This window comes from Homo sapiens, chromosome 9, assembly GCF_000001405.40.
Source record: "Homo sapiens chromosome 9, GRCh38.p14 Primary Assembly".
Taxonomy (NCBI): domain Eukaryota; kingdom Metazoa; phylum Chordata; class Mammalia; order Primates; family Hominidae; genus Homo; species Homo sapiens.
In genome coordinates, this window is record NC_000009.12 from 23627127 (window position 1) to 23654267 (window position 27141).

General features: G+C 39.6%; 1 long non-coding RNA gene and 1 pseudogene across 1 annotated transcript in view; one reads left to right on the top strand and one right to left on the bottom strand.

Moving 5' to 3' along the window:
- LOC101929563 (uncharacterized) overlaps positions 1-27141 on the bottom strand; it is a 171709-nt gene that overhangs the window by 126436 nt on the left and 18132 nt on the right. Inside the window, exons 6-9 of the long non-coding RNA NR_121602.1 lie at positions 23871-23938; positions 22073-22210; positions 21563-21771; positions 21218-21333 (exon numbers count right to left, since the gene is read on the bottom strand). This is a non-coding gene — a long non-coding RNA (uncharacterized LOC101929563). The remainder of the gene's footprint in view (positions 1-21217; positions 21334-21562; positions 21772-22072; positions 22211-23870; positions 23939-27141) is intronic.
- Positions 4883-5429, top strand: SUMO2P2 (SUMO2 pseudogene 2; annotated as a pseudogene).

Genomic DNA, 27141 nt, shown 5'->3' on the forward strand with positions numbered 1-27141 from the left:
GATGAGTTCCTATCCTTTGCAGGGACATAGATAAAGCTGGAAGCCGTTATTCTCAGCAAACTACACAGGAACAGAAAACTAAATACCGCATGTTCTCACTCATAAGTGGGACTTGAATAATGAGACTACATGAACATAGGGAGGGGAACATCACACACTGGGGCCTGTCGAGGGTTGGGGGCTGGGGGAGGGATAGCATTAGGAGAAATACCTAATGTAGATGATGAGTTGATGGGTGCAGCAAACCACCATGGCACGTGTATACCTGTGTAACAAACCTGCACATTCTGCTCATGTATCCCAGAACTTAAAGTGTATATATATATATATATATATATATATATATATATATATATATATATATAAAAGGATAGACAGTGAGAATGCAGAGACTAAATGTCTTCAGGAGATGGGCAGCTACCATAAAAATGTGACTTTGGAGACTGCATGCTTCCTCTAATGCCATTCAAATCTGAATTTAAAAAAAAATCAGCAAAAAAGATGTACATAAGGTGGATTAAATCCGAGCATTCAGAGTGAGGTGTTTTTGTCCCCTCCAACACTCCTCATCTATAAAGAAGTTGGCAAATCTCCATGGATCTTCGCCTTGTAGAAGAAGTGGCCTAGAAGTAAAAATAACTTCTATGAAGTTCCTCAGTGCTGCTATAACCAAACCTGTCAATATGTTAGTAAATGTTTCTATTTTGCCCTCACTTTCCTTAGGGCCAAGTCACTGTTTTCAACACCGCATATTTTTCATAGAACACTCCAATTACCAATTGGGGAAAAAAATGCTTCATATTTATGCTGAACTAAAACATGCCATACACTAGAACTTAAAGTCAGAATATGCAAATCCCTAAAATAAAGCAAAATGACAAGTCACCACAGGAGATGTATTTTAGTCCAATCATATATAAAATCCAGAAATTATGCTAAGTTGGCAATCACTAAAAAAGGCATGTATTCCTCTATTCATTCATCCAATTATCCATTCATTTTTAAAATTCAGTCATCATATACTGCACTCCTATTATGTGCTAGGCACTGAGGATAAAAAGATGAAAGAAACAGACACATCTTTCAAGGGGATACTGCCTGGAATCTGACAAGAGACATGGTGTTGATCATAAGACAGTGTATGAGAGGACTACAGATGCTGTTCTGAGCAAAGAGAAGGGATACCTTGCTCAGATAAGGGAGGAGATGGGAGCTTTAAAGGTTTCTTGAATAAAGAGTTTTAAATGATAAGCAGGAGATAGTTGGGTAAAAAGAAGAATAGTACTTTAAAGCTAATAGTTGTTTTTCACATGTAACAACAAAACACATTCCCAGTATGTAAAAGTTTTCCGTGTCTTTTATATCCATGGAAAACTCAGATCAGATCTAAGGATAGCACACAAAATTCTCTCTGAAGCCCAGGGAAAGTTGGCATGATTTTTCCTAACACAAGCCCTACTGATTCCTCTGATGGCACTGGGGACATACAGTGCAAACTCCATGACATCTCAAATACATGGAGCTTGGAGAAGACAGCAGTTAAAATCCCCTCTCTTTCCCTTGCGCGCATACACACACACACACACACACACACACACACACACACACGGCAGTTAAAATCCCCTTTCCCTGGCGCGCGTACACACACACACACACACACACACACACACTCTTACGAAAAGTCCCAGAGTCTTAAAGACCTATCTGCAAAGGAACATTCAATGGCCCTTTCAACCAGTGAACTAAATTTAAAAGAAACTATCTTATAAAAATAGTTATAAATACACTTAACAAAGAAGATTAATTCTTGAGACTCCTTGCATATTCCAAGTGAGCCAGAGGAGCTGTATCTTCATCCTTCCTCCTTGCTGAAGTTACTTTTGTTTTCAGCTCACTGAACTTTTATCAGTACTAATTGGGACATTCTTCCCGCCAGGGCTTAGCATTTTCAGATGTTTTTGTAGGTACTGATTTAATGGCACTGACATTAAGGTTTCTATCCACTGGGTCACATAAAAGCCAACTAGAACAGGCTGCAAAAGAAGCAGAGTGTTGAATATCAAAAGGAGTGGGTGGTCAGGAAGAGGACTGTCAATGTGCTTACCCCGCTGGACAGACATGATAGCTGGTGCTGGCTCTAGTTATTAGCACAGCATGTTGAAGGTCTACTGAGAGTTTCTATTGAGCCTCCTCCTGATGGGATAAAGCTCAGGAAGGAGGAGAAGGCTACAGTCTATCTTTGATTTTGCAGACACTGAATCAAATATTCCCATCTCGGTAAAATAGCAGAGACACATGTCAATCTCCAAATCAGCTTTCTGAGCCTTTCTTAAAAGGTTCCGATCAATTTGGCCACCCTGGTGAAACCTGGGCATTGCTATAAAAAAATTCAGACCCAAAGAAAGATGCAGTACTTTGAGGGGGAGAGAGCAGAGGTATGAGGTATGGCCAAGAGTTGAGTTTTTTAAGCCAGCCTTGAATCAGTTGCTGCCTAAATTCTGTTGGAGCCAGACAAGTATTTGAGGGAAGCAAGCGTGGGAAGTACTTAGAGAACAGAGAATCAGGACAAAGTGGCAAGTCCAGGCCCTATCCAAAGGGCAGCCACTATTCAACTCTAACCCAATGTTTTGCCATGACAGCATGCAGGTCTAGTATGGCAAATGTGATATTTTAAGAGAAGTGAAAATACAAATTTTATTGTGAAATCTCCCAATTCTGAAATGTTGGCAATGAAAGTAAAAGTCATCCAGGTCAAAAAATACACCTGGTGCTAGATGCAGCTGAGCAACCACTGGTTTATATCATCTGATCCAAATTCTAAAGTAAAAGTTTGTAATTCATCTCCATAGCAGAAAGTAATAGAGATCCTACTAGAGCGTAGGCACCTGAACTATGCTACTTTTTAAGCCAGAAGGGCCCCAAGGGGCATACCAGCTGGCCTTGGATATAAACACGTTATGTTTTCTTCTCTCTTCTCAAAGCAAACTTAACATTAGGTTCAAAATTTCCAAGGAAAAGAAATAAAAAGGGAACTGATGTTGATATTTTGCCTTTCTTTTAAAGGTTTTAGAGGGCATATGGGACTAGTAAGTAGTTTGCATTTGATCTCTACAGTCAGTCTTATTTATTAAAATAAACTTGCCGGTTCTTATTTATTGAAATACGTTTGCCCTGACTCTCAGATGACTTACTTTCACAGATATTAGGACTGAATGATCTGAGTCTCCTGTTAAAGTACTGTAGACAAAATAAGGGTTCTTTAACCTGGCTTTCCTCAGCATTTCAGGGATTGTTAAGAGCAATTTCATTACACAAGGACATCCCAGGTGAATTTCCTGATGGTCAAAAGGAGTTCAGGGCTAGAAATTACATCATAAGTCTGACAAAAGGCTTCACAACCACAGGGCCTGCTTCCTCAAAGTGGGCAGTCAACGGGCAAGGATGGAAAGTGCTCTGTTCTGGGTAGGCAGGGGCAGCAGCCTTCCCTTCTTAGAATCTCCAGCAAATGCAGAGCATGGGGGTAAGAAGACTGAAGGAGTGGAGGAGGATGGATTCATGCACTCATTCAATAAATATTTATTTAATGCCTGCTGTAAGCCAGGTATTGTTCTAGGTGCTGTGAATCACCGCTAATTAAAGTTTCTACCACCATTAAACAAAATTCTAAACAGACACATATTACAATGTTGGACAGCACCCAGTGCCATGGGAGAAAGGAGAGAACTAGGAAGGATAAATGGGCCAATATGACAGAATAACAAGGCTGCTTCTGAAATGTTTCCCTAAGGCCTCCTCAGAGAGCATTTCCTGGATAAGAGGAGCGAGAAACATCAGTATACTTTGGCATTCATATCTTGGTTCCCTATGCAGAAAAAAAGAACACCAATTTGAAATCCAGTAAAATTGACTAAAACTTGTATTATTAGGCCACCTTTAATTCCTTATGTCTCAGTTTCTTCACCTGTAAATGGCAATAATATCAGCTACTCGTCTCAAAGGATTAAGTGTAGATTACACATGGCAATGAACCAATGCTCTGTACAGTGAGCTCAGAACAGAATCAGCATGGCGTGAGCCACATCGTGACTTTCACTGGTACCTCGCAGTGTCTGCCTCCAAGTAGTTACTCAGTTCCTTTTCCCTCCTCATCTCCCTTAGAGTGAGGGCACAAGGTGGGTAAGAACTTGCACATCTGTGTTCCACAGCAGAGATGCTGGGGCTGAAAAGAGCTAAACAGTTCTTTTGGAACCAAAGTAAGAAGCAGAGTTCCGTATTATTAGCTCTTTTTTCTTTTTCCTTTCCATACCTATTTCATTCATTTATTTTTGTAGAGATGGGGGTCTCGCTATGTTGCCCATGCTGGTCTCAAACTCGCAGCCTTAAGCAATCCTGCCTCAGCCTCCTCAGTAGTTGGAATTGTAGGCATGTGCCACCGTGCCTGGCTCCTTTCCACACATACAGTTAAAACGTATACATTAATGAAGAATCAGCAACTTTTGAAAGCATTTGATGGACCATATTATTTCTTTCAGACAATGTTTCATGGTCAAAAGAAACTTGTTTCCATAAAAAACACTGAAAAAAATGAACAGTTTTGTTAAATAGTTGTGTTTTATTCCTTCTCTCAAAAAGTATGGCTATAATGGGATTTCAGATTGATTTATATGGGTTGATAACTGCCAAAAAGTCAAATGATAAAATTTTCCAATGCAAAAATAATAACTCTAGTAAAATGAACAAAATACTCCAAACATATATTTGATGAATTGTGACACCAGTTAAATACTGCCTGCCAGATTTTTCAAAGGTTGTTAAAAATGGGTCCCTTTAGCAATGCAGGTAAGGGAAAAGTGAGAAATTGATTTCAAATTAAATTTTTAAACTGCTTTTGCCACTGCTGGTGCCACTTCAGTGCTCCTTAGGTGAAGACTCGATACCTCCTTTGTGAGGTGGCAGCTGAGGAGATTCTGGCACCCACTGAGGCCAATGAAAAGCCCAACGAAGGAATGAAGACTCAGAACCACCACTGCATTACTTTGAAGGTGGATGGGCATAATACATCTGGGGTGTAGTTTAAGCTTAGGTAGTATACACCACTTAGTAAACTAATGAAAGCCTATTGTCATTGAGGCAGATCAAATTCCAATCAATAAAACAGGCACACGTGCACAGTTAAATACAAGGATGAAGATACAACTGATGTATTCCAGCAGCAGACAGGAGGCGTCTACTAACAAATGAACCTACTACTTAACTCCAGAACTCTTTTCCTACAGACTAAGAATACAATCTCAACTAGAAAACTCTAATTCGGTTTTACCACATCCTGACTACTACAGCATTCTCTGTTCTTTCATTTCCCTCTTCCCTATTCTTTTATTGTATATAAAGTAGCTTGCGTATGTGCACAAGCATAATGCTTTTTTTTTTTAAACTAAATGGCCAATGGTATTTTTTGATGGTCATGAAATGGAGATGAGATGGGGAAAAAGTACTGGATCTGTGAAAATGCCCCCTTTCTTCATTAGTTGCATGCTCATTCAGCTCTCATTTTTATATTCCAGTAAATTATTTTGTTCTCAATTTTAACAATAACAACAACAAAAACCCTTGCATATCTTTGATTGGCTCACTTGGAGAATTTGAACGTTTTTCATTCATCACTGGTAAACCAAAGCCAATTTTATAACTTTTTTGTATACAGCTGTTATATATAGGGCAATGTCTTTAAGTAGGGATAAACTACTCTAAAAAAATGAATCCTCAGTAGTGTTCCCTTCAAGTCAAGTGTCTTGTTTAAATAAACTTCTTGTTTAAAAATAAATAAATAAATTCACAAACTTAATCCCGCAGCTGCTTACCTACATTTGGCCAAAAATGAATCAAATTGATTTTTCTCACTCACCATTACAAAGAGGGTGTTTGTTTATCTCTGGAAAAACTACTTCTAGAAAGTCTATTTGAGAAGTGATAAAAGTAGACAATCATTACTTTATGAGGAACAATTAATTTGTAAATGTGCTATCCAGCATATATCCAGCATATCTGCACACTTATTCTAATTTTTTCAAATTAAATGTATTAAACCAGAAGGTGAATAAATCACATTACAAAAATTAGTGTTTCTAGACTTAACATATCTGTGGAGAAACTATGTCTGGTAAACTCCATGCGATGTCATAGGCAGAAGGAAAACAAGAGCGGAGCATCTTTGACTCGAAACAACGAAACTACATTGCAATATCCGTTTTCACCATCCGATACAAAAATTACAGGTCAGATTTGCCTTAGAATAACTAGATAAGTCCTAGGTACATTTTGAAAACCCTTTGTTGATTAGTATTCCAACTTTTAGCAATATCCAATATAAGTTCATGCAAATACAATCCTTTGGACCACTGAATTTAACAATGTAACACTCCTCACCCCAATTCTGGAGGTCTCTTGTTCTCCTTTTTTATCCACAGTGCATATCTTACTTTTTCTATATGTACGTGTATATATGTATATACTATGCCTAATGTTTATGGCCTGCTTCCTTCAAAAGACTTTAAGATCCACAAGGGCAGGAATCTGTATTGTGTTCAGTGATATGTCCAGAACACTTAGAACAGCGCCTAGCACAAAGTAAGCTTTCAATAAATGTGTTGCCTGGATGAAACTAAATGCATTACGCCAGGTTATTATTTAAAGCAACACAATGGGTGGGTTTTATTGGTCAGATGAGTTTTTCTCCCATTTAAAATTGTACATTTATTTTCTAATTATGAGCCTACTGCTTTCGCTGCCAGGTGCTCTTAAAGCAAGTTACACTTGTGGTAATGCAGGTAAAATAAAATAAAATAAAATAAAAGGTCATTAAACCACCATGTGGGTATGCGGGTACAGGAGAAAAGGGGTCATGCCAATGGATTTTACATCCTCATAACCAGTGATCTCCTGTTTAATAGCTCTAGGCCAACAACTTAAAATACCAATGTACCAAAATACTTGCAGTCACACAACCTGGCCCAGAAATCAAAGCATGCCATTGCAACATTAATGCAACGAGCAGGCTTCCTGCAGGTAACAACCTCTAACCTCAGAGCATTCATTAGGTCATAGTCACAATTTTATCTATATTTATGTTCACTTTATTTTTCTCTTTAAAGGCAAAATGCAAAACACCTATGCTGAACACTTTCAAGTATAAATATAATTCCAAGGTACAAAGTTCTCCTTCACATGGATAGCCCTTTCTCTTTCATTTTGAGTTGATCATCAAATCATCTATTTTTTCCAGTCTTCTTATAAGGAAACATGTACCAAAGTCTCACATATTAAAAGTGATCTTCTAATCCGGGCTCATGTCATATCCTAAGGCATATCATATACGTTCCTGAATCCTCAGTTTCCTTATATGTTGAACAGAGCCAGTGCCATGCAGAATCGTCAAGGTTAGAGTTGCTGAACGCAAAGTCTAGGCTGTGGTTCTAGAATGTAGCACTGTGGCATAATATCTATTCAGAAAATAATCTGCATTTTACTAACTGCTTTAAGAAGCAAAATCATGAGCGGCATTTCTTCTGTTATAATAATGTAGCCATGCCCTTGTCATCTGAGTTCTGGGGTCTTACCTGGGGGCTAAAAGGGAGCAGAAGGTAGCAAGGGAAGAGGGTGGGGTTCCTGCCCTCTTACTTCTATCCAGGTTTGGGTTAAATTAACATAAATGGTTTCTTTGATTTGGGAGAGGGAAGAGTTAACCTTCCTTCACCTGAGAAGGCAAATATGTGCCCAAGTTGATTTTCCAAATAAGACTACATGATGCCTGGAAGGGATGAACCAAATCCTTCCGCCTAGAGCCTTGACAAATGATTGCTGTATATAACTTGCCTTTAAAATGGACCATGTTGATTTCAGTAAGTTGCCTGGTGGTGACCAATGTAGATCAGAACAAACGGCACATCCCAGAATGTCAGAACTGTGTAAGGTCTCTGGAAGGCATGTAAAACTCTATGAAGATCCCCACCTCATTAGTATCGGTCATCTGTCCACTTTGGCATGTATGGGTTTAGACTCACATTTAAGTTTTGAATAATAAGAAAATATAACATCCATAAACCCAAATGTTATAGAACAAATTCATACCCATCACTCAAATGGAAGACTCACACTAATTCTATGGAGGGTTTTTCTCTTTAAGTGTGGGGAAGTAAAGTGTCCTCATTTCATTGGAGTGATATCACGGCAACTTCAGTGCTATTCTATCATGCCTTCAGGCCACAGCACATTCTAACGTCCAATCTTTGTGACAAAGCACTGGAACACAGTCACCAGCCTCCTCAACAGATGAGCTGCAACTCCCCTGCAAAGCAACTAACCAACCATTCTAAATTGAAGTCATCAAAGAAAGTTTTCTGCTTAAAATGAACTTCAAAAAGGTGAGTCACTCTTTTTCACAGTCAGCAAGTTTCCTATGGGTAGAAAGAGAGGGAATGATCACTTATGTTTCAGTGCTGAAAATATGGGCTATGTCTGTCTTGATGCCTTTTCAAAACAAAAGTATTTTAGTAACTGCAGCCACAGATATCAAAAGGCACTCCCCAGGGTCACCATCATCACCATAGAAATGGGCAACCCTTAGGCGAGAATGCATTCATGTGCCACTCACTGCCCTATGCACTTTGTAAGCATCATCTCATTTACTCCTGACCACAACCCACTGATATTATTATCCCATTTTTCCAGATAAAGAAATTCAGATTTAAAGGTGTCAACTAGGCTACTGAAGAAATAACTAGTAAATAAAAGAACTCAGGCTCCAGGAGTCAAGTTCTTCACCTCACTGGCATTCCTTTGGCATCCTAACCATACCATGTCTGGGTTTCTACGTCTCAGTCAGGCCTAGCAAATCTGAGTCCTCAATGAGCCCTCCTATCTTTTGCTGTAATAGCAAAAGTGTAATAGTGGTAGTGGTGTAATACCACTTCTGCTAGTTACACTGTAATCACTAAATCTTCCATCTTAGGAGGAAAACAGAAACCACACCAGATATCTTACCAGAGAGAATTTGAGATAAGAAATTAGTTAAATTGGTGTTGTGGAACTGAAAAAGTAAACGAAGAACACTGAGGCAATCCAGGCATCAAAACCAGAAGAAGCAACAACCACCCCTAGGGAACGTAAGGAGGAGACAGGGTAATTAGAATCTGGAAGTTTGGAGGAGGAACTCTGCAGAGCTGGGCACCAGACTTCTGAGGAGCTGCCCAGCTGGTACTGGGTGTACCAAAATGAACTGGAGACTGAAACCAACCACTGTTGCTAGGGTGAAAACAGGAACTGCAAATATATAGGAAGGAGCAAATGCTTCTCCTCTCCTCTAGTCTCCCAGTCTTCTTCTGGTGCTCCTATAGGCAGAATCTAAGGACTTGAAGAACCAGCTTCAGGAACTCCCAGTCCAAAAACAAAGCTAAGTACAGAAGGGTGAGTTTGAAGTTGGAGACAAAGCTTAAGTACTAATTAGCACAACTCCCATTAGGCCAGGTGTGCTGGTAAACAGAATAGACAGGACAGGCTGAAGGAACTCATCACCAAACATCCTGTCCCCTCGATTGATGGTGAAGTGTGACCCCTAATGATTCCCACCAAAAAGACTCTTCCCATTTGATCTGGTCCCCATTGAATCACTTCATGAGGGGAAGAAAATCAGTCTGGACTGATGCCCATAATGTGTGAATATTGTACTGAGAATTTTATCATGTGCATCCTAATATTTAATCCTTAAAAAACAGTCAGTTATGCCATCATGCAGCACAGGCATTAGGAACAAATACCTTGCTATGCAAAATCACATGGTAAAAACCACAGGGCTCACAGGAAAATTGGGGCTAGGGGTCACTCATAAAGTTTTGTTAGTGACATAGAGGAACCTAATAAAAATAGCACAGTTTTACACATATTAGATGATTAAGAACTACATATATGCCACAGTAAGTATGTATGGAACTTCATGAAACTTTATCTTGAAACAGGCTCAAAGTTTGCTTGTGGGAGTGGGTCGTCAGTCGGGCTGCACTTGAGCCTGGGTAAAAGAGCAAGATCCTGCCTTCAACCAACCAACCAACCAACCAACCAACCAACAAAACAAGAAAAGAAAAAGGGCACACTCCTTTTCTCGGACCAGCATGCTATTTTCTCATTTAAGATATATCACTTGACAGTATGATGTTCAGGCAGCAGAACCTGAGGGCAGTTTTCAGTGCAGTTTTACCAATGACCTTTTCCAGGTGGGAGCGTAGTGCCCTGGGACGAAATGGCTGGTGATCTCAAGCTTCTTTAGGTCCGTGTTTAATGCAGAGCTGCTGAACAAAGGAATTCGTGCCTGTCTCGTACTTTGTCATAAGTGCATTTCTAGATCTGAGTCATAGTGATCCTCAAAAGATGTTTGATAATACTTCAAACACATGGAAATACATGTCCCAACCTCTGTGGTCCAGAAATAAAACGTAATATGAATTGCTAAGTTTGTTCTTCCATCCTTTGCCACGGTGATCTTTCTAAGTCAGTAATGTCATTCCTATGCTTAATTTCCTTCAGTGGCTCCCTATGGCCCAAAAGATAAAATCCAAGCTCCTTAGCATGAAGGACAGACTCCTCCCAGATGTAGCACCTATTTACACATCAAGCTTCAACTCCAGCTAAGCCCCTACCTAAGCTATGGTCCAGTCAGCTGAACTATTTGCTTTCCCACACATAATTTCAGAGTCACATAAATTTACTCACACTGACCCTTAACCTGAAATGCCCATGTCCTCTATGCCTGCCTGCTCAACACCAAGCCACCATTTCGCTCACAGCCTCCTCTGATAGAAAGTTCTTTCCAGTCTCCTTATCTTTCCAGGCAGAATGAACCATTTTGTGGGGCCCCACTGTACCCTATGCTTGCTAACTCCTATCACAGCACTTTGCTGTACATATTTGATCGAAGGTCAACTCCCCTTACCCCACCTTTAAAAGACAAAAAACAAAAAGCCACAAGCTATCTGAGGGTACTGGCCATGCCCCAGTAATCTTTGCATCCCTGGCACCTAGCTCATTGCCTGGTAACTAAATGTGTCATCAATGTTTACAGAATGAAGCAATGGCTACATTATCATAACAGGAAAAGAGTGCAGTAATATAGATCAAGCTGTACCTTTTTTTTTCTCCATCTGAAATCTAGAAAAGACCCTCAGCGCCACTAAATACGTTTCAATATAGACAAAAAACCTACTGAATTGGTAAAGGCAAGGTGATTACCAAATGTATCAAGTGATTTTGCCAAGATGAAGATGGCTTGGGAACACCAAGGTGGAAGATTCTCAAGCACAAGAAACTCACTGGTACTTTGCCTTAAAAGCATATTGAATTAAATACAGGTAGTACCAAAGAAGTGGAAATTATACTACAGAAAATACTCCTTCTGGATGAATGATTAAGTGAGGTATCTGGATAAGAAGCTATGGAGAAAGACTGCTGCTGGTAATAAACACTTTTTTACAGAATCTGAGGATTAAGAAAACTCTTGCCCTGTAGTGTGAGTTCGACAAATGCTGTTTAAATAAAAGCAACTAGGCTGAGTGCAGCGGCTCATGCCTGTAATCCCTGCACTTCGGGAGTCTGAGGTGGATGGATCACCTGAGAACGAGAGTTGGAAACCAGCCTGGCTAACATGGCGAAATCCCGTCTCTACTAAAAATATAAAAACTAACTGGGTATGGTGGCACATGCCTGTAATCCTAGCTACTAGGGAGGCTGAGGCAGGAGAATTGCTTGTACCTGGGAGGTGTGGGAGGTGGATGTTGCAATGAGCCAAGATCACGCCACTGCACTCCAGCGTGGGTGATGATGGAGTGAGACTCTGCCTCAAAATAAATAAATAAATAAATAAATAAATAAATAAATAAATAAAATAAAATAAAGCAGCTAGTCATGCTGTCCCACATTAAGGCCAACTTAATCAAAATACCATAAAAAGCGTGCAGATACCAGATATGACACTATAACTAACATGGATTGCTTACCTAGAGTTTCTGGATCTACATTCTTCAAGTGGTCTCTTCTATTCCAAAGTGACTCACTCTTTCTGGGCAGCAGTGGCATGAATCATTAATCATGTAACAGTGTATACAGTCCCAAGGTATATTAGGCATGATCCTCTCGAAAACACACATTCTAAAAAATCTTTCCAACAAAAGCCTACTTTCCCTGCCATTTGGGTAGGGCATTTCTTATCACAAAATAGTGAATTCTGAGAATCATTTTCTGACAGCTCAATAACTAAAATGATACATGCAAATGTAAAGGCAGGTCATACTTGTCCTCCTTAGGAAAAATGGACACACGGAAGCTCTAAGCCTGTTTTACCAATTGCCTAAGGAAGACTCCCACAGTACATCTCACAGTCACTTCAAATCCCACAGTACATCTCACAGTCACTTCAAACTCCTTATGCCCCAAACACCCTTCTTTTTCCCACAAACGTGCTGTCCTGGCCAATGGTACATTTTCCTACAATGGTATGATCAGCAGCCTGGTTACATTTACCAGTTAAAATCCTCAAATCATTCTTCATTCCTATTTCTCTCCTCTATCACCAAATCTCATCATTTCTTTCTTTAAAAACTTGGTGACACACCAAAAAGATCTCAGCCTTCGCTTGACTATGTTTTAGAACCACAGCATACATTAGGTAGTCAGCTATTCTCCAAAATTCATGCCCCCTTTCTATAATGTAGAGTTGTTGCCAGGAAGTGACTGCCTACTCTGAAGTTCTATTTACCCTACTTGCAATAAGGTGTGCTAGTGAATGTTAGGCCACAGAATGTGAGCAGAGATGATGTGTGCCACTTTCAGGCCAGGCCCATGAAAAACTTCCTCATAGAGCCCCTATATGCTTCTCCCTTCTCTGCTGGCCGTGATGAAATTTGGGGTCTTAAGTGATGGTGGAGCCACGAAAGGAAGCCGCTTGGATTCTGGATCACCATGTGAAGTAAAGTATCCTCTGTCCAGCAGCACCCACGTTTCACTGATATGTGAAGACATAAATTTCACGTACTAATTCACTAAAATATTGAAGTGTGCTTTTTTACAGCACCAAAAAATCAGGACAACTAGAAATATTTAAGGTTTCAGTTAAAACCATCTCCATGAGCATGATACTGAGGGCTATGGAATTGCCCTTGACCACAGGAATCTAACCCCTTAAGAGTATTCTACCGCTTTTTGAAAAAAATTGTAACCATTATATTGATTAAAAATAGCCACAATTTACTCACCTTTCCCTATGTGCCAGGCAGGGATCTTACTGTGTGTTGTATGGATTTTTAAAAATCATATATATATATATATATATGATTAATGATTGATGCCCCTATATATATATATGATTAATGACTGATGCCACTATATATATATATGTATATATGGTACACATTGCTACTATGTCTCATTTTGTAAAGGGGAAAGCTTAGAGGTAAAAGGTGAAAGCCTAGGTTACACAGTTAGAAAGTTACACAGCCAAAGCTCAAGCTCCTCTGTCTTTCTCCAGAGCTCACGCCCCACCCCTTGTTACCCTGCCTTCTCTAAGGAAAAAAGGTAAGCAAGATAAGAATGTGGTGTGATGGCTCTTGCTCCAGTTACCACATGAAACTGCATTTTACAATATAAATGTAAATTTATTTTCTGCCATACAGAAGAGGCAACTTGGTATTTTAGGTAACAACACTGAAGAGTTGTATAAGTCTAGCTTCAGGGTTTCCCAGCCCAATGGAGGCAGCTGGATAACCAAGATGCTTTTCTGATGCTCACCTCTGCCTTCCCCATTCCCCAAGTGCAGCATTCTTCCCTTCACCCCATGAGGACCTCACGTGGATGCCTCACACGTTACATCTGACCATCTATGACCATCTCTTCATTCAACCACCCATTTCCAAATCCAGATTTCGGAGTTAGCTTTTATAATAGCAGTCCCTCTCTGGAGTGTGGACTAAATATCATTAAATTAACCATTTCATCATCATCGATTTTCTCCCTCTCTTCAACAAAATCCAGATGACAGTTAGCTTGTATTGTGCTTTCTAACTATCGTGAGAAATGTTTCAGATCCCAAAATAAATCTACCATAATGTTTTTTGAAAATTAATTCATCTTTCCATAAACTGCCTTGTTTATGACTGATCATTTTCCAAATTACATGCTGATGGGACACCTATTAGTCACGGACTACAACTTGTCTGACCAACTGTTCCTGACAAAGCATTTCCCAGCAGACAACAGGGGAGCCAATTTGTGAAACGGTAACCAGAGATGGTGGAGGTCACCTCACAGAGAGCACTGACCTCTTAACCCAAGAAGCTCTGCTCAGGTATTTTATGTGCCAACCTTGGCACAGAATGTAATTTGTTGGGTTAAAATGAAGACAAAGACAAATTACGCACTTCTATGAGAGTGCTGAATTTTTTTTTCTATTGCTATGGTAACACTACTCCATTGTAGGAGACGGAAAAGAAAGAGTGGGCCTTAACAAATAAGCTATAAAATCTGTCAATGATGTATCAAAAAGGACTTTTAAAAGATACTCCTTTCAATTATTTCACTGCTAGAAATTTATCCAAGAGCAATAGTCTGTTAAATGTGCAAAATATGTACATATCGGATGCTTATAACATTTTATTAAAGATACATGTCCAACAATTAAATTATGGTGTATTCATACAGTGGAATTCCAGAGGACAGGTATGAGTTAGGATGTAGATGAAGACTTATTGATGTGGATGCATGTTCATCATGTGCCATTAAGTCAGTATGTGAGTTACAGGATAGTACATATCATTTGATTCTGTTATAAACATTACCCAGGGAAAAATGTCTGAAGATATTTACATCAACATACTAATAGCAGGAGTTATTTCTAGTGAGAGAAATTTTGGGGGTGATTGGAAATACTTGCCATGTGCTTTTCTGTATTTTCTATGATGATTTTTCATATCTGTGTAATATAAATAGAAAAAATGCAACTGTGGCTGATTACACTATTTATTCAAAAATATCCACTGCCCCTTCTTAGTGACCCTTTCCTGGTGCCTCTTTTTATGGGAGGAGTATAATTTTTGTCCCCATAGACATCAGGCTTAATGATGTGACGTACTTTGACTCATGAAATAAAAATAAAATATGAGCGAAAGGGACACGTACAACTCCCAACAAAAACCTTGAGACTTATCATGTGCTTCCATCAATTTTTTTTTTCCTCCACCCTGAGACAGGCATGCTCTGGATAGGAGATGCTTCTTGAGCCTGGACAGCAAAAAGATGTGAAGCAGATTCGAGCTAACCTGCCGTAGCCAAAATACAGGTAAGAAAGTTATCTTGCGTTGCCATAAGCCACTGAGATATGGGGCTGTTTGTTACCATGGGATAACACATTCTAAGCTGACTAATAAAGCAAATCTACCACCACCCCCCACAAGACCAAACTAGGATTTAAATAATTATAACAGTCCCTCAGTTATTTCCAATTAGTGCTGGTGTTCCATATTAACTTCAGACCTCTCTGCTACCAATATTTTTTAACTGGTATTTATGGGAGAGTTCATTGCTCCCAGCCTCCCCTGCTTTCTTTCTGCCTGCCCACATCATCTCAGAGTCACAGTGATTATTCCTTTGCCTTTCATGACTGTTTCTTTTAGGCCTTCCTATTCTCCCTGTAGTCCATGGACGACTGCTCATTCCATGTCTGCATATGGTGGCTATGGCCAATGATATTACCCTTCAACCCTCTTTTTAATATTTACTTATCTTTAAAATGTTATTTTTAATATATGCTTTTTAAAATTTAATTTTTAATTAACAAATAATTGTATTTATGTATACATAAACTATATGTATGTATTATATGGGTACACTGTGATGTCTTGATACATGTTTACATTATAGAATGATTAAATCAAACTAATTAATAAATCCATCACCTCACACACTTATTTTTTGTGCTAAAATATTTAAGACCTACTCTTTTTCAGCAATTTTGAAATTTACGATTATTTAAGTCACAAATCAATCTTCTTTATACATCGTTGTGGGATTCATGTTCCTTAAAGACTATTCTCCAATTTACCACCACTGGTTTCAAGCTCCCCAGCCCGTTAGCCTAGAATTCAGGAACTGCTTAATTCTTCAAGCTCACTACCCTCATAACACAAACTCTCAGCACCAGCCAAACTGTTTCATTCATTATTTCCTCCGCATACCTCACATTCCCAGAATTGAGGCTATCAAGATGATGGCAGTAGCCTGAACCCTCCGGAGAATGGTTAAACTGGTGGTAGAAGGAATCATTCAATGAGTGACTGACATACTGCAATACAGGTAGCACAGCCCTGAGGTACAAGCTGCAAAGTAGACAGGCTGACAAGACATGGTGATAGTCGCCAACAATTCCTCCCATCCCTGAACACACAAGACCTTTTTCCTTTCTCTTAGACTCTGGGCTGGCTTTGTGACTTGTTTTGACCAACAAAAATGCAGTGGAAGTGATGAAAGACTTTCAAGAGGTTAAGAAACCTGGCGGCTGCCTCTTTCTTAGAGCCCTGCAGCCAAGCTCAAAGGAAAGCCAGGGCAGACTACTGAAGGATGAGTGGTCACATGGAGAGAAGCCCTGAAGGATGTGGCCATCTGGGACTTATCTGCTCCAGCCAAGTTTCCAGCTGAATGCCACCTGAGTGACTAAGCCAAAAGTACATGGAACAGAATAAGTGCTCAGTCACCCTGATCAACCCAGACTTGGGAGGAAAAATAAATTATAGTTCTCTGTAATAATTTGTTTCATAGCAACAGATAACTAAGACAAAGGGTATTCTCCTTACTTCTGCTCTTAATACAGTACCACTCAAGCCTCTAGGGGGACAGTGGCTATGGATCCCAAAAGACAGTACTCTCTTGGCACAGTGGTAGTACTGGGGTACCCTGAGATGACTAAACAGGCAGTGAATTTAAATGGTGGCAAGAGAAGTAGGAGTGCACATGAAGTGGGAGAGCAAAATGATGATAGAGGCCATATGGTAAGTATTGCCAATAAACTAGTCCATAAGATATAAAGAGATGAAAACCTAGGAATGGTAGAAGATCCCAGCTGAAGGTGTGGGCAAGAGCCAGTACAATCTGAGTTATAGTTTCTGTGGCTCTGTTTGCACAAGCTAGGAAGGACTCAGAAAGAGTCAGGTGGCATTAATAACGCCTAAGTCTATTACCACCACTCATATCCGCCACACTGTGGTTATCAGGAAGGGACATAAATCCATCATGGGCAGAAACACAAAACTACCAACAATCAGAGCACTGAAGCCGCAGGTGGCAGAAACTGCCAGTTGATCATCAAACTGATTTCTTCCTGTTCCTGGGCACACGATCAGACGACATTCCCCAGCCTCTCTAGCAGTTGGATGAGTCCATGTGACTGAGTTCCAGCCAACAGAATATGGATGGAAATGATGAACACCACGTGCCAGCCTGACCAGGAAACACTGCCACACTCTCCTGCTTGCCCAGCAACCTTGGAAATTACATGCTGATGGCCATGGAGCCTCAAGACAGAAAGACCGACCATGAGTCTCTGATCTACTGCTTGCAGGAGAGCTGCCACCTAAACCAGAACTGGTGAATGAAAAAGTGGTGTACTACTAAGATTTGGGAATTTATCTTTTATGCCCTTATAATACATCCTAGCTGTACATATGGCAGCACTAAGCATCTATACCTGAAAATATTCTTTAGAGCAAAGATACCCCACAAGGGTCTCCAGGTGTTTTGGAAAACTATAATATAGTAATGAAAAGTCCGTAGCTATGTTCAATATTCAAAATGCCTAAAGAAAATTCTACATTTAGGTTTCCAGGCTAATTAAAACATCAAGCCTCTCTGCTTTTGGCTGCGATGCATCACTTGAGCTAGCAGCACTGGCCAACTCGTGCCAGTCAGGAGCCTGGAGCTGCAGTATGGCCAAATAAATATCCCTGTAAAATGCAGCTTGTTTAGTCAACAAAAATCTCTCATTACATGAAATAATAGAAGTGATACCTGGTGGTACAAAGATTTGGAATCACTGCTCTCACATACCATATCGATATAGTTGGGTCCCTTCATGTTATTTTTTTCCTTAAGGAAAATGGGCATCATAACAATGAACGATTATATAAAAGCAGATTCAAAAATTACTAAGGTATCAATGGATATTATTTTATCTTTCTGAAAGCACCAAGAATAGATCTGGCTGACGCTATTAACCAATTGGATGACTTTGGGCATGTTATTTAAATCTTTCAGAACCTAAATTTCCTCAATGGTATAAGGGGGCTTCTTTCATTTGCCTACGGTGGCCCTCAGGCTTGGGGGCCACCAGCACTAGCAGGAGTGCTTGTTAAAGAAGACCGCTGGGGCCCACCCCACTTCCATTCACCAGGTCTGGAGTGGGGTCTAAGAATTTGCATTTCTAATAAGCACTCAAGTTTAACAGGTTTCTCCAGAGAAAGAGAACCAACTGGGTGGGTGGGTGGATAGGGGTGTGTGTGTGTGTGCGTGTTTGTGTGTGTGTGTGTGTGTGTAAAGAGAAAAAGGGAGAGAAGGGAGAGATTGACTGATTTCAAGGAGTTGGCTCCCACAACTGTGGGCCTCGCAAGTTTAACATTTTGCAGGGCAGGCCAGTAGGGTGGAATTCCAGTAGGAGTCACTGTTCCAGTCTTCAGTCTGAAGGTAAACTGGAACGGAATTCCTCTCTTCTGGGTTTCTCAATCTTTTCTCCTAAGGCTTTCAGCTGATTGGATCAGGCCCACCAGAATTATGGAGAGTAATCTGCTTTACTCGAAGTCTACTGATTTAAATATCAATGACATCTAAAAAATAACTCCATAGCAACATCTAGACTGGTGTTTGAGTAAACAAGTGGGCATAATGGCCCAGTCCAATTGACACCCAAAATTGAACACCACATCAGGTGCTGCTGAAGTCCTGGTATTCCTGAAAGCCACTGCCCTACAGGACAGCGATGAAGATACATAAGCCAAGCCAAGTAAAATCATCTAGTAGCAATGGGCTTTTAAATTATAATGGCCTCTTCTACTCCTCTTTTCAGGCTATTACTTTTTTTTTTTGGAGACAGTTTCACTCTTGTCGCCCAGGCTGGAGTGCAATGACGTGATCTCGGCTCACTAGAACGCGGGCTAATTTTTGTATTTTTTAGTAGAGATGGGGTTTCACCGTGTTGGCCAAGCTGGTCCGGAACTCCTGACCTCAGGTAATCCACCCGCCTTGGCCTCCCAAAGTGCTGGGATTACAGGGGTGACTGGGATTACAGGTGTGAGCCACCACGCCCGGCCTCAGGCTTTTACATTTTTAACCCATCAGAGAAACCACACTTTTCACTCCCCAAATATTTGAGAGAATATTCTTGAAAAGAGAATGTTAAAATGCATACCTGTGGCTGCTTCCTAAATTCGATTACCCAATTTCTGGATTACCCCCTTGTTTCTATCAACTGAGCCCCTTTTCTATTCCGTAAGTATAAAAACCAAAAGTTTAATGACATTACTGAAGTCACCAAATCTCAGATTCGACAGACCACCGACACTAAAACAAGGTTAGTATGGTTTTCCACCTATGCCTACGATTTCTCAAACCTTCATGGATAGAAACGTAGAAACCTCAATTTCAAAATTAATGCTCATATTCTGACCAGGCGGTTAATAATTACATGTTACATAAAGGGGGTGAATAATTTTGTATGTTGCAAAGTTGTAAAATGATATTAAAAATGCTAATTTATCTAAGAGAGTTGTTTCCTACTAGGATTACATTCTTGCTTTTTTTTTTTTTTTTTAACACATTTTAAAAATCTGCACTTCACAGCAGTTAGGAAGTATCAGAATCTGGTTCTGATTTAATCAGATGAGAAGTAATTCAGCTTCAGGCCATAATGACACTTGGTGGGAGAGGTCGGGAGGCTTTCACACATTTAAAAAAAAAAAATACAAATCTCTTTCACTCTTCCCTTGAACTTTCACTCTGCTTGATACTATTCCTAGATTTTAATTCCAAATTCTCCCAAGGGCAGAGAAAAGCCATCTAATGTGTTAGAATGTAAGATATCTTTAATAAGGTTTTCATGATACCAGATTCAAATAAGCCACTGTTTAAAAACTTATTTTGGCAAGGGTGGCAATAAAAATATTTATATAGAGACATACATCCACACACACCTCTATTTACTCATCCATCCACACACACACATCCTTTTTTGACCAACCAAACTCTTTTCTTACCAAAAACATTTGGATAACCCTTATCTAAATTATTATTTTACTTCACAAATTTTGTTCCACAGTTTCTTGTTATAGGGATTAGGAAAAAAAAATCAATCAGCTGGGGGGAACTCTAGATTTAAGAAGCTCCATTATTTTGGAAAGTCTCTGATATTTTAATACGCTGATACGTGCTGCGACTTTTATTAAAATGTGTGTGTGACTGTGTGTATTCACTATTTCCCAAACTTATTTGTTCATCAACTTTTGTTCCCTGTTCAGTACATCTCTCAATATTTAAGTTCTATTCAAACATGCAAGAAAATAGCTTAAAGATGTATTCAGGAAGAATTTACACTAACAGTTGATGGACTTCCATTAAAAGAAGCATCTGTAAATATTACGCTCTGTTTGTAAATTCAGGTCAGTAAGGCTATGTCTTCAACCGAGGAAGAAAGTAGAGTCTAAGCCTTAACAACGACTCTGCTTCTTCAGTTTTACTGCATTTGAAAAAACTTGTTTCCCTATAATAATGATGATGGTGTTTCAAATCCGTCTGGACAAATGGTATAACAATAGCTTAACACTCTAGGGAGACAACAAATGTCGTATGATAAAAGAACCCAAAATATCAACACTAGTCCTTTCTAGGTTAAGATTATGAGTTCTTTCTTCTTCACGCTGTTCTGCATTTTGTAAATTCCCTGAAATGAGCTATAACTTTTCTAATCAGAAAATAAATATAAGTATCATTTTAAAAGGTAGTCTAATATATTTTCTTAGGGGATATTTCATAACATAAATAGTTACAATGCCATGATTTTTATCGTCATAACCAACCAGAGAATACAGAAAACCTAGATCAGAAATTAAAACTAAAATATGAAACATGTCCCAAAAGTGCTAACCTTGCCTCTGTTTTGTCATCATATATGAGCTGCTCTTCATTAAGAAAGGAGAATCTTCACTTTCACAGGAAATGTGCAGCAAACTACTAGAGAGCTATGTTTTCACCTAACTAGAACTTGGATGAGGAAAAAAAAGAAAACCATTAGCATTATAGCCAATAATTTACTTTCAGAACAGTCATTTATGGAACAGTTTCTAATATCTGTGGTAGGCTGGATAACAATTACAACAACCCCCCCTCCCCATCCCTGGCCCCAAAACACACACACACACACACACACACACACACACACACACACACACACGATATCCATGTCTTAATTTCTGGAGTCAGTGAATCTTACCTTATATGTTAAAAAGGATTCTGAAGATACGATTAAGGATCATGAGATGGGGAGATTATCTTGGATTATCTGGGTGAACTCTAGATATAGTCAGGTGTGTTCTTATAATAGGGAAGCAGAAGGCAACGTGGTGACACAAGAGAAGGCCTGTGGTCACAGAGACTGGAGTGATGCAGCCACAAGCCAAGAACTTGGGCAGCCACCAGAAGCTGGAAGAGGGAAGGAACAGATTCTCCCTTAGAGACTGTGAGAAGAATGGCTTCCAGGGGGAGGTGTGGTTCTGTGAAAGCACTGATTTTAGCCCAGTGGAACCACTTCACAATTCTGGCCTCCAGAACTGTGAGGGAATTAATTTCAGTTGTTTTAAGCCACCAAGTTTGTGGTAATTTGTTACAGAAGCCATAGAAAACCAATGCAATACCCCAGTCGCAAGTAGGCAAGTGGTCTTGACTTCTGCAAGGCTGGGGAGACAGACCTTCTGGCTGATTGGATCTTGAAGACAATCCCCACCTTTGGTGACTATTCCTCCACCCTGGTGCAGGGATGAGCAGGGCACTGGCTTGCAAGCTCTGGGTGCAGTTCCTTTTAGTCGCACTGTTGAAGTGTGTTAACTAAATCTGACAGACGTGAATCTGGTCACGTGAATACCTGGGATAATGTCCGTTTATTATTAAACACATCATTTCCTGAGATTCTTAGCTTGATGTTTAAAATCATCTCTCTTGCTAGGAAATTAATAAAATATGCATCTGACACAATTATGTCCACACCTACAATCCTGATGTCAAACAAAAAGCCCCACAAATCTAGAAACTAGAGAACGTTGTATATAAGAAACAGGTGAGAAAGAGGCAACTCACTAAGCTTATTGATTAAACTTTGAAAGAATAAAACATATACTGTGGGAAACATCGGCAATTGAAGGAACAATTGCTGTACTTGTGAATCAAATTCATTCCACTTAAGAGCTCCATGATCTCCAAGTAGTACCAGAATTGAAAAGAAGTTATTGCATTTAAAGGTTTAATTTAAATTTAGGTCCTTCAACAGCAAGTTCAATGATTTATCATACTGATTGAATTCTAATTCTCTTACAATGTTGAAATCTAAAAAACCATTTCCTTCAAACACTAGTGCCACTGAGAAACACACTTATAGAACTCCTTAATCCTCCAAAAATAATGTAACACATGCATCATTTAATTCAACGAGGCAGTGTTATTGTCATATAGTGATAAAATTAGTAGTTCTATGCCAAAGAATACCTTGGGCATAGGAGGCATGGTATTTTTTTCTGGTAGTCTTCCAGAAAACCTGGCGTAGCAAAATGACAAAGTATTGATGGCTTAATATCATAAATATGGAACGAATTATATATAACTTACTAGAAAACAGAGTAACAATCTAAATAACTCACGTTTCTTCAAGAGGGACTTAATTCCCTTTCCTAATACCTCACTCTATACCACGCTCTACATAAAAGTGGCTTACATCACTTGAACCCAGGAGTTTGAGACCAGCCTGGACAACACAGGGAGACCCTGCTGCTTTTTTTGAGAGGGAGTCTCGCTCTGTTGCCCAGGCTGGAGTTGCATTGGAGTGCAGTGGGGCAATCTCGGCTCACTGCAAGCTCCACCTCCCGGGTTCACGCCATTCTCCTGCCTCAGCCTCCCCAGCAGCTGGGACTACAGGCGTCTGCCACCACACCTGGCTAATTTTTTTTGTATTTTTAGTAGAGACGGGGTTTCACTGTGTTAGCCAGGATGGTCTCGATCTCCTGACCTCGTGATCCGCCCACCTCGGCCTCCCAAAGTGCTGGGATTACAGGCGTGAGCCACCGGGGAGACCCCGTTTCTATAAAAAATTTAAAAATTAGCCAGGCATGGTGGCATGTACTTGTGGTCCCAACTACTTGGGAGGCTGAGGCAGGGGGACTGCTTAAGCCCAGGAGGTCAAGGCTGCAGTATGATCGTGCCACTGCACTCCAGCCTGGGTGACAGAGCAAGAGCACACATCTAACAAAAAAAAAAATTAAATTAAAAAGTATATTACTATCTCAGTGTAAAGTAATGGGAATTCAAATCTCAATGTCGATTAATTTCAAATAAAGGTTGTGGCAGAGACTTGCTAGCTGTTCAAAACCCGTTTTGTCTTATTCATGGGTGCACAGCTAGACTAGATTTCCCAGCCTCACTTACAGTTAGCGTTGAACTAAGACTGTGGCCAATCAAATGCAAGTATAATAATGTGCATTGTTTCCTGGTCTGGCCCATATGCCCCCAAAGAAACAATTCTCCACATTCCTTACCTTTCTCTACCCCAGCCTCAGGAGCCATGTGTTCAAGAAGACCGGCAGAGCCACAAAATGGAAGGAGCCTGGAGGAATAAATATATTTGATTGGCACTGATTTCTTGCAGTAGCTAGCATTAGCTTTACTATACATTGGTTTTGCTTTATTTGTTAACTTATGTATTGATTCAGTTAAAACAAAAACACATTGGGTACTCAAAACATGACAGAAAACAAACAAGTGACTCACCCTGAAAATTCAGCAAGTAAAGGAAACAATGTAACTAGACAAAAATCCAATGATGCACAGTCCTGAGTCCTACGAATGAAATGTGTACAGAGTTCTGGAAGTTTTTGTGGAAATGGGAGAATGAAGCTAGCTTAAGTTGATTCTTGAAGTACAGACAAGGCAGGGGCGTTTCCAAACACAGGAATAAGCTCACGCAAAAGCCGCAAGGTGTCCGATGATTGTGGGCCCTGTGGGGATGCAGTGGTGGCAAGAAGTAAGGGACGGGGCTCCATGTACAGGCAGGGGAGCCGTAACTGCAGGCTTGGTACTCTCAGCAACACCCTTCACACACTAGTACCACTGCCCAATAATGTTAATACCACTGCCCAACAATGTTAGTACCTTTGCTGGGGAGACTGGACTTTATTCCGAAGGCATTTCCTGAATGGAAAATCACAGTCTGGTAGGCACAGACAGAGTTAAAACTGTGATTTGAGAAAAACATCCACGTACCAGGTAGAGAATACACTTTTCCCCTTAAGGGATGTGGTAGTTAAGGAAGGCAAAGAACCAGTAATAGGTAGATTAAGTTTACAAGTTACTGGATTATTACATCTCAAATCCAAGGTTTTGTACAGATGACTTTTAACCCACCTTCTAAAATATACCCAGGGTAATCGTTTCCAAAAACGACATATTCAGTTAGGCAAATTACTCCTTTACAAATCTAGACACTTCATCACTTTTTATACATCCCTATTAGACATTAATCACAGAGTATTTCTATCTCATGTCTCTTTTTAAATTCATATTGAAGGAGAGAAGAAAAAACGAACAGAAAGGACAACAAATACAGAGTTAATATCGCATCTATCCAGAGCTTAGCTGTCAAGCAACGATACGCAGGAGAACCATCCAAAAAGTGAAAAGGTCTCTGACAGGTGAAGACAGTTGTCACACTGGCTAGTGACTAAAGATGTGGCAATTTTCCCATAGGAAAAGCTCTCAAAACCTTATTTTGATAGTCAAAATCATGTGAAAATCCCTCAAAACCTTATTTTGATAAAGCTGTATAGAAAAGGTAAGTATCCAGGTTTTTAAAAAATTAAGACTTTTTTAGAGCAGTTTTAGGTTTACAGCGAAAATGTGTAGAAAGTATATATACTCCTCCTTCCCACCCTGATATATGCAGTTTTCCCTACTATTAACCTCTTGCATTAATGTGGTATATTTTGAAAATTCGTGTACGACTATGGATATATGATTAACTTAAGTCCATTGTTTACATTAGGATTAACTGTGTTGCACATGCTACGGGTTTTGACAAATGCATAATGTCATGTAGCTACCTTTAATGTCATACAGAACAGTTCCACCACCCTAAAAATCCCTTGACTACCAATTCATCTCTCTGTTCCTCTCACCCCCTGCCACTCTGGAAATCACTGATGTTTTTATTGTCTCTATATAGTTTTGCCGTTTCCAGAATGTCATATAGATGGAATCATATAGCATATAGCCTTTTCACAATGGTTTCTTTCACTTAGTAGTATGCCAGTTCCATGTCTTCTCATGACTGGATGGCTCGTTTCTTACCACGAAGAGTACTCTATTGCATGGATGTACCATAGTGTCCCCATTCAACTATTAAAGGACATCGTGATTGCTTCCAATTTTGGCCGATGATGAATAAAGCTGCTATAACATTCACATGCAGGTTTTTGCGTGGATGTAAGTTTTCATTTTGGTAAATAACTAAAAGCTTGATTGCTGGGTTGCATGTTTAGCTTTCTAAAGAAACCGCCGAACTGTCTTCCAAAGTGGCTGTAGCATTTTACGTTCCTACCAGCAATGAATGAGAGTTTCCATTGCTTTACATTCTCACCCGCATTTGGTATGATGAGCGTGTGAATTTTAGTCATTCTAATAGATGTCTAGTGGTATTTCACTGTTGTTTTAATTTACAGTTCCCTAACATATCTCAAGCATCTTTTCATATAATTATTTTCATTTGCATATATCATTTGGTATTCAGATCTTTTGCCCATTTTAATTGGGTTTTCTTATTGTTGAATTTTAACAGGTTTTTAAATACATTTTGCTTAATAGCCCTTTATCAGATAATGGGGTTTTGTAAAGATTTTCTCCAAGTCTGTGGCTTTTCTTCTCATTCTCTAACGGCGTCTTTTGCAGAACAAAAGTTTTAAATTTTAATAATATCCAGTTTATCAACTTCTTTTTCCCATGGATCATGCTTTTTGTTGTTGTATCTAAAAAGTCATCACCAAACCCAGGATTGCCTATATTTTATCCTAGGTTATCTTCTAGGGGCTTTATAAGTTTAGGTTTTACATTTAGGGCTATAATCTACTTTGAGCTAATTTTTGTGAAAGGTATAAGGTCTGTATCTAGAGTCACTATTTTGCAAAAATATTCAGTTGTTCCAGAACCATCTGTTAGCAAGACTGTCCCTTCTCCAATAAATTGCCTTTGCTCTTTTGTCAAAGATCAGTTGACAATATTTGTGTGGGTCTCTAGTGTCTCTATTCTGCTCCACTACTCTATTTGTCTGTTCTTTCACCAATACCATGCTGTCTTAATTACTGCAGTTTTACAATAAGTCTTAAAGTCAGGTAGTGACTGACTGTTAATAAGAAAGGGGAAAAAACACTCACCATAGAAAGGTACATGGTAACTCATTAAATATATCTATCTGGAGAGAAAAGAAGCACCTAGAAGTCGAGGCTGCTCTGTCAGCCTGGATGCATCCCAGAGTGAAGACACAGCAAGGCAGGGTACTTTGGGCATAGGAGGCATGGTATTTTTTTCTGGTAGACTTTCAGAAAACCTGGCTTTGCAAAATGACAAAGTACTGATGACTTAATATCATAAATATGGAACGAATTATATATAACTTACTAGAAAACAGAGTAACAATCTAAATAGCTCACTTTCATCTCTAATGAATCGGATGAATGCCATTTTAAGCCAATGAGGTTTGGGTTTTTGTTTGTTTGTTACTATAACTTAGCCTATCTCAGCCATGACATCCTGATCTGG